Genomic DNA, 15,143 nt, shown 5'->3' with positions numbered 1-15,143 from the left:
TCATTTATTCAGCTTTTTTTTTTTTTTTCCTGAGATAGTCTTGCTTTTGTCACCCAGGCTGGAGTTCAGTGGCACAATCATAGTTCACTACAGCGTTAAAGTCCTGTGCTCATGTGATCCTATACCCCAGCCTTCTGAATAGCTAGAACTATTGGCACACGCATCCACACCCAGCTAAGTTTTTAAATTTTTTGGAGGCCATGCACATTGGCTCACACCTGTAATCCCAGCACCTTGGGAGTCCAAGGCGTGTGGATCACCTGAGGTTGGGAGTTCGAGACCAGCCTAGCCAACTTGGTGAAACCCCATCTCTACTAAAAATACAGAAATTTGCCAGGTGTGGTGGTACATGCCTGTAATCTGAGCTACTCAAGAGGCTGAGACAGGAGAATTGCTTGAACTCGGGAGGTGGAGGTTGTAGTGAGCCGAGATCATGCCACTGCACACCAGCCTGAGTGACAGAATGAGACTGTCTCAAGAAAAGGAAAAAATAAAAATTTTTGTCTCTGTGTTGCCCAGGGTGGTCTCAAACTCCTTCAAGTGATTATCTCACCTCACTGCAACCTCCACCTCCTGGGTTCAGACGATTCTTGTGCCTCAGCCTTCCGAGTAGCTGAGATTACAGGCATGAGCCATCACATCTGGCTAATTTTTTGTATTATTAGTAGAGGTAGGTTTTCACCATGTTGGCCAGGCTGATCTTGAACTCCTTACCTCAGGTGATCCACCCACCTCGGCCTCCCAAAGTGCTGGGGTTACAGGCATGAGCCACACACCCAGGCAAAAGATTCTTGATGTATCTAAAATGGTATACTGCATGACAACATTTTGGCCAAAGATAAGACCACATGTATTTTGGGAGTCCCATAATATTATAACAGAACTCAGGGTGATGGGTGTAGCAAACTACCATGACACATGTATACCTGTGTAACAAACCTGCACATTGTGCACATGTATCCCATAACTTAAAGCATTAAAAAAAAAAAAAGATTATAACGGAACTGAAGGATTCCTATCACCTAGTGACATCTTGGTGATCCTGACCTGGCGTAGGCCTAGGCTATTGTATGTGGTTGTATCTTAGTTTTGCACAAAAAAAAGTTTTAAAACTTTCTTTTTTTTTTTTTAAACAGGGTTTTGCTCTGTCACCCAGACTGGAGTTCAGTGATGTTATCATGGCCCACTGCATCCTCAGCCTCCTGGGTTCACGTGATCCTCTCCCTTCAATCTCCTGAGTAGCTGGGACTATAGGCACATGCCACCATGCCCAGCTAATTTTTTATTTTTTGTAGAGACAGGGTTTCTCCATGTTGTCCAAGCTGGTCTGGAACTCCTGAGCTGAAGAAACCTACCTGCCTCAGCCCCACAAAATATTGGGATTACAGGTGTGAGCCACCACATGCAGCCAAAAAAATTTTTAATAGGAAGAAGCTAGTAGAATAAGGATATAAGGAAAGAAACCATTTTGTGTACAGCTGTACACAAAATGTGTTTTAAGCTAAGTGTTACTACAAAAGAGTCAAAAAGCTAAAAAAAAAAAAAAAAAAGATCAGTACATTGGCTCACACCTGTAATCTCAGCACTTTGGGAGGCCTAGGCAGGAGGATCACTTGAAGCCAGGAATTTGAGACCAACCTGGGCAATATATCAAAACCCCCGCCTCTACAAAACATTAAAGAAAACTAGCTGCACATGGTGGCGCACACCTGTAGTCCTGACTACTCCAGAGGCCAAGATGGGAGGATCACTTGAGCCCAGGATTTTAAGCCTACAGTGAGCTATGGTCACACCACTGCATTCCAGCCTGGGTGACAGAACAAGATCCTGTCTCCAAAAATTTTTTTAAAAGCTAAAAAAAAAAAAAACCGGGCCAGGTGTGGTGGCTCACACCTGTAATCCCAGCACTTTGGGAGGCCGAGGTTGGCAGATCATGAGGTCGGGAGATCGAGACCATCCTGGCTAACACGGTGAGACCCCGTCTCTACTAAAAATACAAAAAAAAAAAAATTAGCTGAGCATGGTGGCGGGCGCCTGTAGTCCCAGCTACTCTGGAGGCTGAGGCAGGAGAATGGTGTGAACCTGGGAGGCGGAGCTTGTAATGAGCTGAGATCATGCCACTGCACTCCAGCCTGGGCGACAGAGCGAGACTCTGTCTCAAAAACAAACAATCAAACAAAAACAAACCCTTGAAGTTCATCAAGTAAAAATATTACAAAAAGCTAAGGATAATTTATCATTGAAGAAAGAAAAAGTGTTTAAATATCGTGCTGCCTAAGTGTACAGTGTTTATAAAGTCTACAGTAGTGTACTGTAATGTCCTGTTTCTTCACATTCACTCACCACTTACTCACTGACTTACCCAGATCAACTTGCAGTCCTGTAAGCTTCATTTATGGTAAGTGCTCTATATGTAGGTGTACTGTTTTTTATCTTTTATATGGCATTTTTATTATATGGTTTATATTGTGTTTTTATCTTTTATATTTTTACCCTGTGTTTAGATAATGTTCAAATACACAAATACCACTGTGTTACAGTTCCCTACAGTATTTAGCATAGTAACATGCTGTACAATTTTGTAGCATAGAAGTAGTACGCTATACCATTTAGGTTTGTGTGCGTGCACTCTAATGTTCACATGATGAAATTGCCTTAACAACACATTTCTCTTTTTTTTTTTTTTTTTTTTTTTGAGACGGAGTCTCACTGTCGCCCAAGCTGGAGTGCAGTGGCGCGATCTTGGCTCACTGCGTTCTCTTGCCTCAGCCTCCCGAGTAGCTGGGACTACAGGCTCCTGCCACCTCGCCCGGCTAATTTTTTGTATTTTTAGTAGAGACGCGGTTTCACCATGTTAGCCAGGATGATCTCGATCTCCTGACCTCGTGATCCGCCCGCCTCGGCCTCCCAAAGTGCTGGGATTACAGGTGTGAGCCACCGTGCCTGGCCAACAACACATTTCTCAAAATCTGTCTCCACCATTGAGTGATGGATAATTCTTTGTGTGTGTGGGCAGGGGGAGGGTATGTATTTCTCTGTATAAGGGCCCTGCACTGCCCTATTGGATTTAAATAAATAATCCTTCTCACAATGTTAGACATAAACGTCAAGTACTATGCTTGGGACCAGGCTTATAGAGACAAATAAGAGAAATGTAATTTCAATTACATATGTCTAACTTTGTTCTAGAAGGGATTAGAGTTGATGGTTTTAAAATAACTTATAAAGGATAAGGACTATAATAGATGTATATGTGGAGAGGTCTAGCTGCATAGAACATGTATCTTTTATTCAGCATAGAGATCTGAATACCATTACAAATACCAATAATTAGGAGGACATGGGGAGGAAAACCAATTTAGGGAAGAGAAGAGTGGGCTTGTCTCTCAGGGCTATGAATGTGGATGTGCCAAATGCCCAGACAACCTCAACCTTTGCACTTCTTTTTTAAATTTTATTTACTTACTTATTTTTTTCTTTTTTTTTTGAGATAGGGTCTTGCTCTGTCACCCAGGCTGGAGTGTAATGACACAATCTCAGCTCACCGTAACCTCTGCATCTAGGGCTCAAATGATCCTCCTGCCTCAGCCTCCCAAGTAGCTGGGATTACAGGCATGCGCCATCATGCCTGACTAATTTTTGTATTTTTAGTAGAGATGAGATTTCACCATGTTGCCCAGGCTGGTCTTGAACTCTTGGACTCAAGTGATCCTACCCACCTTGGCCTCCCAAAGTAGTGGGATTACAGGCATGATCCACCATGCCCAATAAGCTTTGTACTTCTGAGCTGAGTAATTTGCTGAAAACGCTTAAAAGTTTCATTGACTTCTTTGGCATTTAGAATTCTAGTTCCAGAGTACTGTGTCCTGCAGAGAATCTACTATTATAATTAGATCAGACAATGAAATAGCTTGAAAAGGCTGGGCGCGGTGGCTCACTGTTGTAATCCCAACACTGTGACTGCAACAGCCACACAGTATAGCCAATCAGTGCTCTTGATATTAGGAACCAGTGAGGTAGAAATGAATACTGCACTTGCAGTGGTAAGAGCATGAGTTCATTATACCTTCTTTCCTAGCTCTTATATTAGCATTGTGTGACTTGAGTATGTTATTTAACTATGTGTTCTCATACGTAAAGTGGGACTTAGAATACCTCCCTTAGGCACACATGAAAACAAACCTCTGCTAGAGTACCTTTATGAGTTTGTCCTTTCCCCTATGGGCTACTGAATATTATTTACATATTTCCTCTAATATCCCCATTCCTTTTCTGATGTAGAAGAATAAAGAAAAATAATGCAAATGTAAAATTTAGTTTCTCTCATTCTATGTAGCTTGCATTCCATCCTTGAGAGTTCCTTCTCTGTACCCTAATGCGTATTTGTCACTACCTCCTTATTTTCATATCTCACTTCTCAAGAGGTAGATATTACTTGATACGAGAGTTAGTAGGCATAGAAATCTAATATTTTCTTCCCTCTTTGTCCAAGTTCCATTTCTGAAAAATCTTAGCAAACATACTTTGAGCAAAGATTATCAAAAGAGACGTGTATTTGTGTGTGGGGTGGGGGATATAATGAATGAGAGTGAGCAGTGGAATTGAAATGTGATATATAGATTTACTTTCCCTTTAGAATTCAGGTTTTAGGTTTCTACACCTTGACCCTAGAGAAGGACCACATACTTGCCATAGCTTCAGCTGTGCGTCATAGTTTATGCTCCATTGCCCCCCTCCCCATGAGAGTGGTCCCCAAATTTTAATATTTTCCAGGAAGCTTGTTTATTTGACATTTAATGAAACAGTCCTTGGTTTGAATATCGTTTACTACCAGTATGACCTTTAGTAAGTTACTCAGTATTTTCAAGCCTCCTTATTCATTTTCTTCACCTATAAATATTATCAACCTCATAGAATTTTTAAAAGAATAATGTAAAATGAAATTTTATATGTGGCCTAATGCAGGGCCCCCCTGCACTGCCTACAGGGTTTCAATAAATGGTCATTTTTATAGGTCTTACCCTTACAAAGAGTAGGCATCTTTAAAATAGGTTATGATGTAGCATCATGAATCTCTCCATCTTTTAACCAAGTTTCAACATGAGTGGTTTATGGACTACACTTTTAAAAACCCTCCTCTACCTAGTTACCTGGATATGCATTATATCTTCAGAAGTCCAAATATCTTCTTTCTTGATCAAGCACACACTGTTATAATTCACTGCATGATTAAATAAATTTTATAATACATGGTTTCTCATGGAGCTTGCAGAATAAGTGACAGAGGCTGACAAATATTTCCATTGAATTGTGTGCTTTGGTAAAATAAAGAAGCATTACTCATTCCAGGCAGGGGTGGAAATAGGTCCAGGAATGGCTTCTTCTAGAATAAGTGACTCCTAAGTTGAGTCTTAAAGGATGAATAGGAATTAGACCATTGTGTGAAGAATGACTGCTATATTTTCAGTTTGGCTGACTGGATATCAGAGGAGATGCTTTAGGGAAGAAGATAGCGTCTTTGCAGTTGTGTTCAGAAGTGTTGGGATTCAGGCCTGGTTCTATATATTAGCACAATTACATCACTTGGAGGAGGTAGAGAAGAAATGAAAGAGAAGACAAATCTGAGAATGGCCTCTGAGAATGGTCAGGCTGGTCTCAAAACTCCTGACCTCAAACGATCCGTCACCTCGGCCTCCCAAAGTGCTGGGATTATAGGCATGAGCCACTGCACCCGGCCTAATACCATAATCTTTGAGCTTAAATGGATAGTTAACTTTTTTTTGTTTTTTGTTTTTTGTTTTGAGACAGAGTCTGTGCAGCTGTGCAATCTCAGGTGGTCACTGCAACCTCTGCCTACCAGGCTCAAGTGATCCCCCCCACCTCAGCCTCCTGAGTAGCTGGGACCCCAGGCATGCACCATCACGCCTGGCTAATTTTTTGTATTTTTTGGTAGAAACAGGGTTTTGCCATGTTTTCCAGACTGGTGTCAAACTCTTGAGCTCAGGCAATCCACCTGCCTTGGCCTCCCAAAGTGCTTTGATTACAGGCATGAGCCACTGCTCCTGGCTGAGAGTTACTTTTATTATTGGGGTTATCTATCAGCCTTCCATAACTGTATGTCTAACTTATAAATAAAATTCTAAGGGTGTACAGAGTTCTCATTTATCCTCCACCTATGTTCTTCCAGAACTGAAAAATTTTGCAAGTATATATATATATATGTACGAATATGTGTTTCTGTTTCTTTTGAGATGGAGTTGCTCTTGTTCCCCAGGCTGGAGTGCAATGGCACGATCTCAGCTCACCGCAGCCTCCGCCTCCCAGGTTCAAGCAATTCTCCTGCCTCAGCCTCCCGAGTAGCTGGGATTACAGGCATGCGCCACCAAGCCCGGCTGATTTTGTATTTTTAATAGAGATGGGGTTTCTCCATGTTGGTCAGGCTGGTCTCGAACTCCTGACCTCAGGTGATCCGCCCGCCTCAGCCTCCCAAAGTGCTGGGATTACAGGCGTGAGCCACCTGCGCCCGGCCTGAATATGTATTTTTTAAGAAACAAATTAACTGGCCAGGCACAGTGGCTCATGCCTATAATCCCAGCATTTTGGGAGGCCGAGGCGGGTTGGATCACCTGAGTTCGGGAGTTCGAGACCAGCCTGGCCAACATGACGAAACCCCATGTCTACTAAAAATATAAAATTAGCCGGGCATGGTGGCGTGCATGTTTAAACCCAGCTGCTATGGAGGCTGAGGCAGGAGAGTTGTTTGAACCTGGGAAGCGGAGGTTGCAGTGAGCCAAGATTGCACCATTGCATTCCAGCCTGAGTGACTGACAGAGCGAGACTCCAGCTCAAAAAAAAAAATAACTGAAACAAAACACAATGTTCTGTCAAATTATGAAATAATTAAAACCAATAAAGCATACCCATAAAAGTACAAATTGTTTTTATTCTAAATTAGAGTATTAAAAAGGTTGCCATAGTCCAGGTGTGTGGTGGCTCACGCCTGTAATCCCAGCACTTTGGGAGGTCGAGGCAGGTGGATCACTTGAGGTCAGGAGTTCAAGACCAGCCTGGCCAACATGGTGAAGCCCCGTCTCTACAAAAATAACAAAAATTAGCTGGGCATGGAGGCACGTGCCTGTAATCCCAGCTACTCTGGAGCCTGAGGCAGGAGAATCATTTGAACCCAGGAGGTGGAGGTTGCAGTGAGCCGAGATCGTGCCACTGCACTGTAGCCTGGTGACAGAGTTAGACTCGTCTCAAAAAAAAAAAAGTTGCTATATCAACCAATAATTTCATCAAAGAATTGTGAGGCAAGGCTGTGTTCACTCAGAAACCACATCATCCACTTCTTTTCTCTGCTGTCCAGATTTTTCAGTCATTGCTCGGGGTGTAAAAATTTTAGTCAGGGTCTAGAGCAGACAATTCTTAACCACTTATGCTGGTTTTGAATATTTCAGTTCCTTAGTCATTTTTCTTTTCAAAAATATGAAAGCAAATCACGTTTTTGGTAAAACTCCTTTCTTTCTATAGAGAGAAATAGCCCGGAAACTTGCAAATCCTAAGCAACCAACAAATCCTTTTCTAGAGATGGTCAAATTTCTGTTGGAAAGAATCGCACCTGTGCACATTGATTCAGAAGCCATAAGGTAAGCCAAGAAGTATATTCGCTCAAAAATAAATAATAATCTGCAACGACAATGTTGTTAATTTAAATTCTGGGCTCCTAAAGATACCTGAAAACCTCTGTATGTCTCTTTTTAATCACAGGGTTGTACATCATTCAAGTTGAAGGGAAAGCCTTCTCATTTTATGATCTTTGGCTTTATATAATGCTTTCTGTTTTTAAAGAGTTCTTATGTTTATTTTTAGCTTATGCGTTCTCATTAAAGAAAACTTAGAACAAAGAGAAAGACAGAAAAAGGAATATTTTAGATCTGTGTGGCTGTTGACCAACCTCTGAGTTTTCTTAAGCATTTTAATGGCCCTGTAATATTCTGTAGTACATATTATACCACTGTTCATTTGATGTGTGAGAACAGAATGGTATGTTGGAAAGAGGAGAGGATTATCTTTAGGCAAATTTGGTTTCAAAACATAAGTCTACTTTGTGGCTTTGGATTGTCTTTGAATTTTCATTTATTTTCAACTTTAATATGGGCATAAAATCTTGTTGGATGATTATGTTAATTTGAGGTAATATATAAAAGGTAAGCAGCCTGGCATCATAGACATTAGTTAAGAGCTATTGATTTTTTATTACGTATTCTCATGATTTCAGACTTTTCAAACGTCTGGTAATGCTTTTCTCTTGCACCAATCATTTTTCCAGTAGATAAGCTATATATCTTTCCATATTCAGTTACTATGCAGCACTTGTTGGTTCTTTTTCCAAACAGCCTAGAATTCAGAGATCAGTTCCAGTACCCAAGCTTCGCTGTTTATTTCACCTTAGGTGAATCACTGATGTGGCTGTATTGAAATGCTGATTATATTCATTTGCTAGGGCTTTCATAACAAAATACCCCAGTGCCTGGCCTGAACAAAAGAAATTTATTTTCTCACAGTTCTGGAGGTGTAAGCCTGAGATCCAAGGTATCAGCAATTTTTAATTTTTTTCCTGAAGCCTCTCATCTTCATAAACAGATGGCTTCCTTCTCACTGTGTCCTCTTGTGGTCTTTTCTCTGTGCACGCAGCATGTCTATGTCCTAATCTCTTGCAGGAACAATAGTCATATTGGATTAGGCCCCACCCATTCAATCTTATTTTACCTTGATTATCTCTTTAAAGGCCCTATCTCTAAATACAGTCACATTCTGAGATACTGGGGATTAGAATTCATATGAATTTGGGAGAAACACATGTCAGCCCATAACATAATAAATGTACATATATTCAGGCTATGTCTGATAATTTAATACATTTATACAATTTGTGAAGATCAAATCAGTGTATTGGTGATATACATCACCTTAAATATTCATCTTTATGCTAGAAACATTCAAATTCTCTTTAGCTATTAAACTGTAGTCACTCTACCGATCTCTAAAACACTAGTCGTTCTATATCTATTAATTAACCTCTCTTCATTCCGCCTTTCTCACCCTTCCCAGCTTCTTGTAACTACCAGTCTACTGTGTCATCATGAGGTTCACATTTTTAGCTCTCAAATATGACTGCGAATATGCAATATTTGTTTTTTTTTTGTTGTTCTTGGCTTGTTTTATTTAACATAATGAGCTCCATTTGCATACATGTTGCTACAAATGGCAGGATTTCATTCTTTTTTTATGGCTGAATAATTTTTCATTGTACATATATACCACATTTTCTTTCTTCGTTGATGTGCACTTAGGTTCATTCCATATTTGGCTATTGTGAATAGTGACACAATAAACATAGGACTGCAGATATCTCTTCAATATATTAATTTCCTTTTTAAAAAATATATACCCAGTAGTGGAATTGCTAGATCATATGGTAGATCCAGTTTTAGTTTTTTGAGGAACCTCCATACAGTTTTCCTTAGTGGCTATGCTAATTTACATTTCCAACAACAGTGTATGAGGGTTCACTTTTTTCTACATCCTCGCCGGCATCCGTTATTCCCTGTCTTGTTGATAAAAAGCCCTTTTTTTTTTTTTTTTTTTTTTTTGCCGGAGTCTTGCTCTGTCACCAGCTGGAGTGCAGTGGCGCCATCTTGGCTCACTGCAATCTTCACCTCCCAGGTTCACGCAGTTCTGCGTCAGCCTCCCGAGTAGCTAGGACTACAGGTGCATGCCACCATGCCCAGCTAATTTTTGTTTTTTAGTAGAGACCGGGTTTCACCATGTTGGCCAGGATGGTCTCAATCTCTTGACCTCGTGATCTGCCCGCCTCAGCCTCCCAAAGTGCTGGGATTACAGGCGTGAGCCACTGCACCTGGCCTGTTTTCCCACTTTTAAATTGGATTTTTTTGTATGGTTTTGATTTTTTGTTTGTCTGGTGTTTTTTTGTTTTGTTTTGTTTTGTTTTGTTATTTTGCTATTGAGTTGTTTGAACTCCTTACATGTTCTGGTTATTAATCCGTTGACACAGGGATAATTTGCAAATATTTTCTCATTCTGTGGGTTGTCTCTTCGCTTTTTTTATTGCTCCCTTAGCTGTGCAGAACCATTTTAGCTTAATGTAATCCTATTTTTCTATTTTTGCTTTAGTTGCCTGTACTTTTGGGATGTTAACACAAACAAACTTGGCTCAGATCACTGTCTTTAAGCATTATCCTAGCATTTTCTGCTAGTAGTTTCATCCACTAGGTCTTAATCCATTTTGATTTGATTTTTTTAGAGGGTGAGGGATAGGGGTCTATCACTGATGAACATAGATACAAAAATCCTCAAAAATACTAGCAACCTGCTTTCAATAACACATTAAAAATATTCATCACAATAAAGTGGAATTCATCCCAGGGATGCAGAGATGGTTCATAAATCATATATCGATAAACATGATTCATCATATTAATAGAACCAAGAATAAAAACCGTATAGTCATTTTAATAGGTTCTGAAAAAACATTCAATAAAATTCAACATTACTTTATGATAAATACCCTCAACAAAATAGGTATAGAGGGAACATACCTCAAAATAATAAAGGCCATATGTGACACACCCACACTGAACATTGTGCTGAATGGGGTAAATTGAAAGGCTTTCATCTAATACCTGGAATAAGATATGGAAGCCACTTCTACCACCTTTATTCAACAAATTACTGGAAGTCCTGGCTAGAGCAATTAGTCAAAAGAAAAGAAGGCCATCCAAATTTAGCAAGAAGGAAGTCAAATTAGCCTTGTTCGCAGATGACATTATCACAGAAAAAGCTAAAGACTCCACCGAAAAACTGTTTTGAACAGATAAATGAATTCAGTATAGTTGCAGGATACAAAATCAACATACAAAACTCAGTAGCATCTACGTATGCCGACAGCAAACAATCCGAAAAATCAAGAAAGCAATCTTATTTATAATAGCTACAAAGAATATTAAATACCTAATAATCAACTTAAGCAAATAAGTGAAAGATCTATTACAAGAAATACTTTAAAACGCTGATGGAGGAAATTAACGGAAACACACAAAAAATGGAAAGATATTCCATGCTCGTGAAATGGAAAAATTAAAAAAAAATTTTTTTTTTTTTGAGATGGTGTTTCACTCTTGTTGCCCAGGCTGGAGTGCAATGGCGCGATCTTGGCTCACCACAGCCTCCACCTCCTGTGTTCGAGCAATTCTCCTGCCTCAGCCTCCCAAGTAGCCATGATTACAGTTATGCGCCACTGCACCTGCCTAATTTTGTATTTTTAGTAGAGATGGGGTTTCTCCATGTTGGTCGGGCTGGTCTCAAACTCCCAACCTCAGGTGATCCGCCCACTTCGGCCTCCCAAAGTGCTGGAATTACAGGTGTGAGCCACCCCGCCCGGCCAAAATCAATATTGTTAAAATGACAGTACTACTCAAAGTAATTTACAAATTAAATGCAATATCTATCAAAATACAAATGACATTCTTCACAGAAATAGAAAAAACAATCCTAACATTTACATGGAACCACAAAAGACTCAAATAGCCAAAGCAATATGAGGAAAGAGAACAAAAGCTGGAGCCATCAAACTACCTGACTTTATACTACAAAACTACAGTAACCAAATCAACATGATACTGGCATAAAAACTAGACACATCTAAAGGAACAGAATTGAGAACCCAGATACATATTGGTGCTTTTTTGGCCCGCTCATTTCTGACAGAGGTGTCAAGAACATACAAGGAGGGAAGGGATAGTCTCTACAATAAATTGTGGTAGGAAAACTGATTAGCAGAAGAATGAAACTAGACCGCTATCTCTCATCTCTCAACATACAAAAAAATCAAAATTGGCTTTTTTTTCTTTCTCTTTTTTTGAGACAAGGTCTTGCTCTGTCACCCAGGCTGGAGTACAGTGGCATGATCATAGTTCACTGCAGCCTTGACCTCCTGGGCTCAGGTGATGCTCCTCCCTCAGCCTCCAGAGTAGATGGGACCATAGGCACATGCCACCACAACTGGCTAATTTTGTGAGGGTGTTTTTTTTTGTTTGTTTTTTGTTTGCTTTGTTTTGGTTTTGGTAGAGACAGGGTTTCACCATGCCGTCCAGGCTGGTCTCGAACTCTTGGACCTAAGCGATCCACCCACTTCGGCCTCCAAAAGTGTTGGGATTACAGGCGTGAGCCACTATACGCAGCCCTTTTTTATTAAGATTTTCTTTTCTTTTTCTCTTTACTTTTTTGGATACACGATCTCACTCTGTCGCCCAGGCTGAAATGCACGATCCTGGCTCACTGTTGTGTAGGCTCAAACGATCTCAGACCTCAGCCTCCTGAGTAGGTGGAACTATAGGTGTGCGTCACCATGCTCAGCTAATTTTTTTAAAAGTTCTTTAGTAGAGAAGCAGTTTTGCCGTGTTGCCCAGGCTGGTCTCGAGCTCCTGGGCACAAGTGATCTGCCCACCTTGGCCTCCAAAATGCTGGTATTTCAGGCATGAGCCACCATGCCGAAGTTTTTTTTCTCTTCTCTTCTCTTCTCCTTTCTTTTGTCTTTTTCTTTTCCTTTCTTTTTTTTTTTTTTTTTTTAAGAAGGAATCTTGCTCTGTCACCTGGGCTGGAGTGTGCAGTGTCACGATCTCAGCTCACTGCCACCTCTGCCTCCCGGGTTCGGCCTCCCGAGTAGCTGTATCTACAGGTGTGCGCCACCATGCTAGGTTAATTTTTTGTATTTTTAGTAGAGCAGGGTTTCACCATCTTGGCCAGGCTGGTCTCGAGCTCCTGTGCTCAAGCAATCTGCCCACCTCGGCCTCCCAAATTTCTGGGATTTCAGGCATGAGCCACTGCACCTGGCCTAGAATTTTGAAAGAAAGGATTGGGGTTAATATAAAATCATTCTAAATATAATCAATTTCCCCCCTATACATATGTCCATACACCTTGACATATGTGTGCTACAGTTAGTTAATGGTCTATAGGAAGTAGATGAAAATGAAGTAGTCATTGTAATGATGGCTGGAACCCAGGTGAAAGTAAAATTTTAAAAAGGAAAAGGTTGAGGACTGAATCGTGAGGGAAATTAGCAATTAAGAGGCTGGCAGAAGATAACGGACTTAAATTTTCTTTTTAAGTTTTGAGCAGACATAGTCAAAAGCAGAAAATTGGGAAAGAGTGTTATCACAGAAACCAAAGAGGGGCTAAGGAGGGGTCAGATGATATCCAGAAGTTGATTAAATACTAAGAATCATCGAATGGATTAGGAAATGGGAAAAAATCACAATGAACAGAGCAGTTTCTGTGCGGTAGCAAGGACAAAGCCAGAATGCCATGGATTCAGAAAGGCATAGGACAGTCCTTTCCAACATGTACATCGTGGTACACAGAGAAGGTGATCAGTATTACTTAGGCAGAGAAGACTACTGAGTCTGTTTTTTACTGGCCCAGCTCAATAGAAAGCCACTAGGTACCACTTGGCTACACTGAGGCTTGAGCATGTTAAAGGGATACATAGCCTTGTCACCCTTCTAAACCCTGCTTAGGAGATAAATTGACAGCACCAGTGGGGACAATCAGTGTAGACAGCGCCAATCTTGGATAAAAAGCAAAGGAGGCCAGGCATGGTGGCTCATGCGTGTAATCCCAGCACTTTGGGAGGCCGAGGCGGGCAGATCACGAGGTCAGGAGTTTGAGACTAGCCTGACCAACATGGTGAAACCCCGTCCCTACTAAAAATGCAAAAATTAGCCTGACGTGGTGGCACGCAACTGTAATCCCAGCTACTCAGGAGGCTGAGGCTGGAGAATCACTTGAACCTAGGAGGCGGAGGTTGCAGTGACCCAAGATCACATTATTGCACTCCAGCCTGGGTGACAGAGCGAGACTCAAAAAAAAAAAAGCAAAGGAGAAGGCTGGGTGTGGTGACTCACGCCAGAAATCCCAGCACTTTGGGAGGCGGAGGTGGGTGGATCACTTGAGTCCAGGAGTTAGAAACCAGCCTAGGCAGTATGGCAAAACCCTATCTCTACAAAAATACAGAAATTAGCAGGATACCATGGCATGCGCCTGTGGTCCCAGCTATGTGGGAGGCTGAGGTGGAAGAATGAGCCCAGGAAGCAGAGATTGCAGTGAGCTGAGATCACGGCACTTCACTCTCTCCTGGGCAACAGAATGAGACTGTGTCTCAAAAAAAGACAAAAACAAAAAAACTGGGCTAAAGTCAGAGTTTGAGCCTCAAAAGAAAAGTAACAGAAAAATAAGATGATGGAAACGGAGTAAGCTTGAAGAAGAATCTTCTGCTGTTGTTTTTGACTAAATAATTTTGAATATTTAAATACCTTGAAAAGGTGCTAGCTGAAGGCTGGGTGTGGTGGCTCACGCCTGTAATCCCAACACTTTGGGAGGCCGAAGTGGGCGGATCACCTGCGGTCAGGAGTTCAAGACCAGCCTGGCCAACATGGTGAAACCCCATATCTACTAAAAGTACAAAAATTAGCCAGGTGTGGTGGTGCGTGCCTGTAATCCCAGCTACTCGGGAGGCTGAGGCATGAGAATCACTTGAACCTGGGAGGCGGAAGTTGCAGTGAGCTGAGGTCGCACCATTGCACTCCAGCCTGGGCAAAAAGTGAGACTCCATCTTCTTCTTTTTTTAAAAAAAAAGATGCTAGTTGAAAAGAAGACAGATTGCAGATAAGGGAAGGGGAATATAGGTATGAGGGAGCAGCATTCCTAAGGAAGCAGAGCAAGAAGAAGGACATCTTAACCTATGACATGACAAAATAATACACACAAATTAGAGGAGGTTAGAAGATTAGGTATGGAAAATTAGAAGAGTTTTCACTCAAGGCGTCCATTACTACTCTTCCTTCTGTTAAAGATGAAGTTGCCAATGGGAGTATTTAGACTTCGTTTAGAATGGTGAAGATTTGTAACAGTGGTTGTATAGCATAGACTTCCCAAGCAGTTTTGAAGAGGCACTTGAGATCGTCTTTTTCATCATGATAGCCCTGTGAAATATATATTATTTATTTAATTTATAAAAGAGGAAAAATACTTTATAAGAGGAAGGACTGTGAACCTGGTTTGAA

General features: G+C 41.0%; 1 protein-coding gene across 6 annotated transcripts in view; it reads left to right on the top strand.

Moving 5' to 3' along the window:
* PDS5A (PDS5 cohesin associated factor A) overlaps positions 1–15,143 on the top strand; it is a 155,049-nt gene that overhangs the window by 80,017 nt on the left and 59,889 nt on the right. For all 6 annotated transcript variants that reach the window (XR_001741185.2, XR_001741188.2, NM_001100399.2 and 3 more), the window contains one exon: positions 7,531–7,646. Coding sequence is in view for 4 of the 6 variants with exons in the window: in NM_001100399.2 (NP_001093869.1) it covers positions 7,531–7,646 (116 nt within the window). In the remaining 2 variants the exon portion in view is untranslated. The remainder of the gene's footprint in view (positions 1–7,530; positions 7,647–15,143) is intronic.

This window comes from Homo sapiens, chromosome 4 (assembly GCF_000001405.40).
Source record: "Homo sapiens chromosome 4, GRCh38.p14 Primary Assembly".
Taxonomy (NCBI): Eukaryota; Metazoa; Chordata; class Mammalia; order Primates; family Hominidae; genus Homo; species Homo sapiens.
This window is presented reverse-complemented; position numbering and strand designations above follow the sequence as displayed.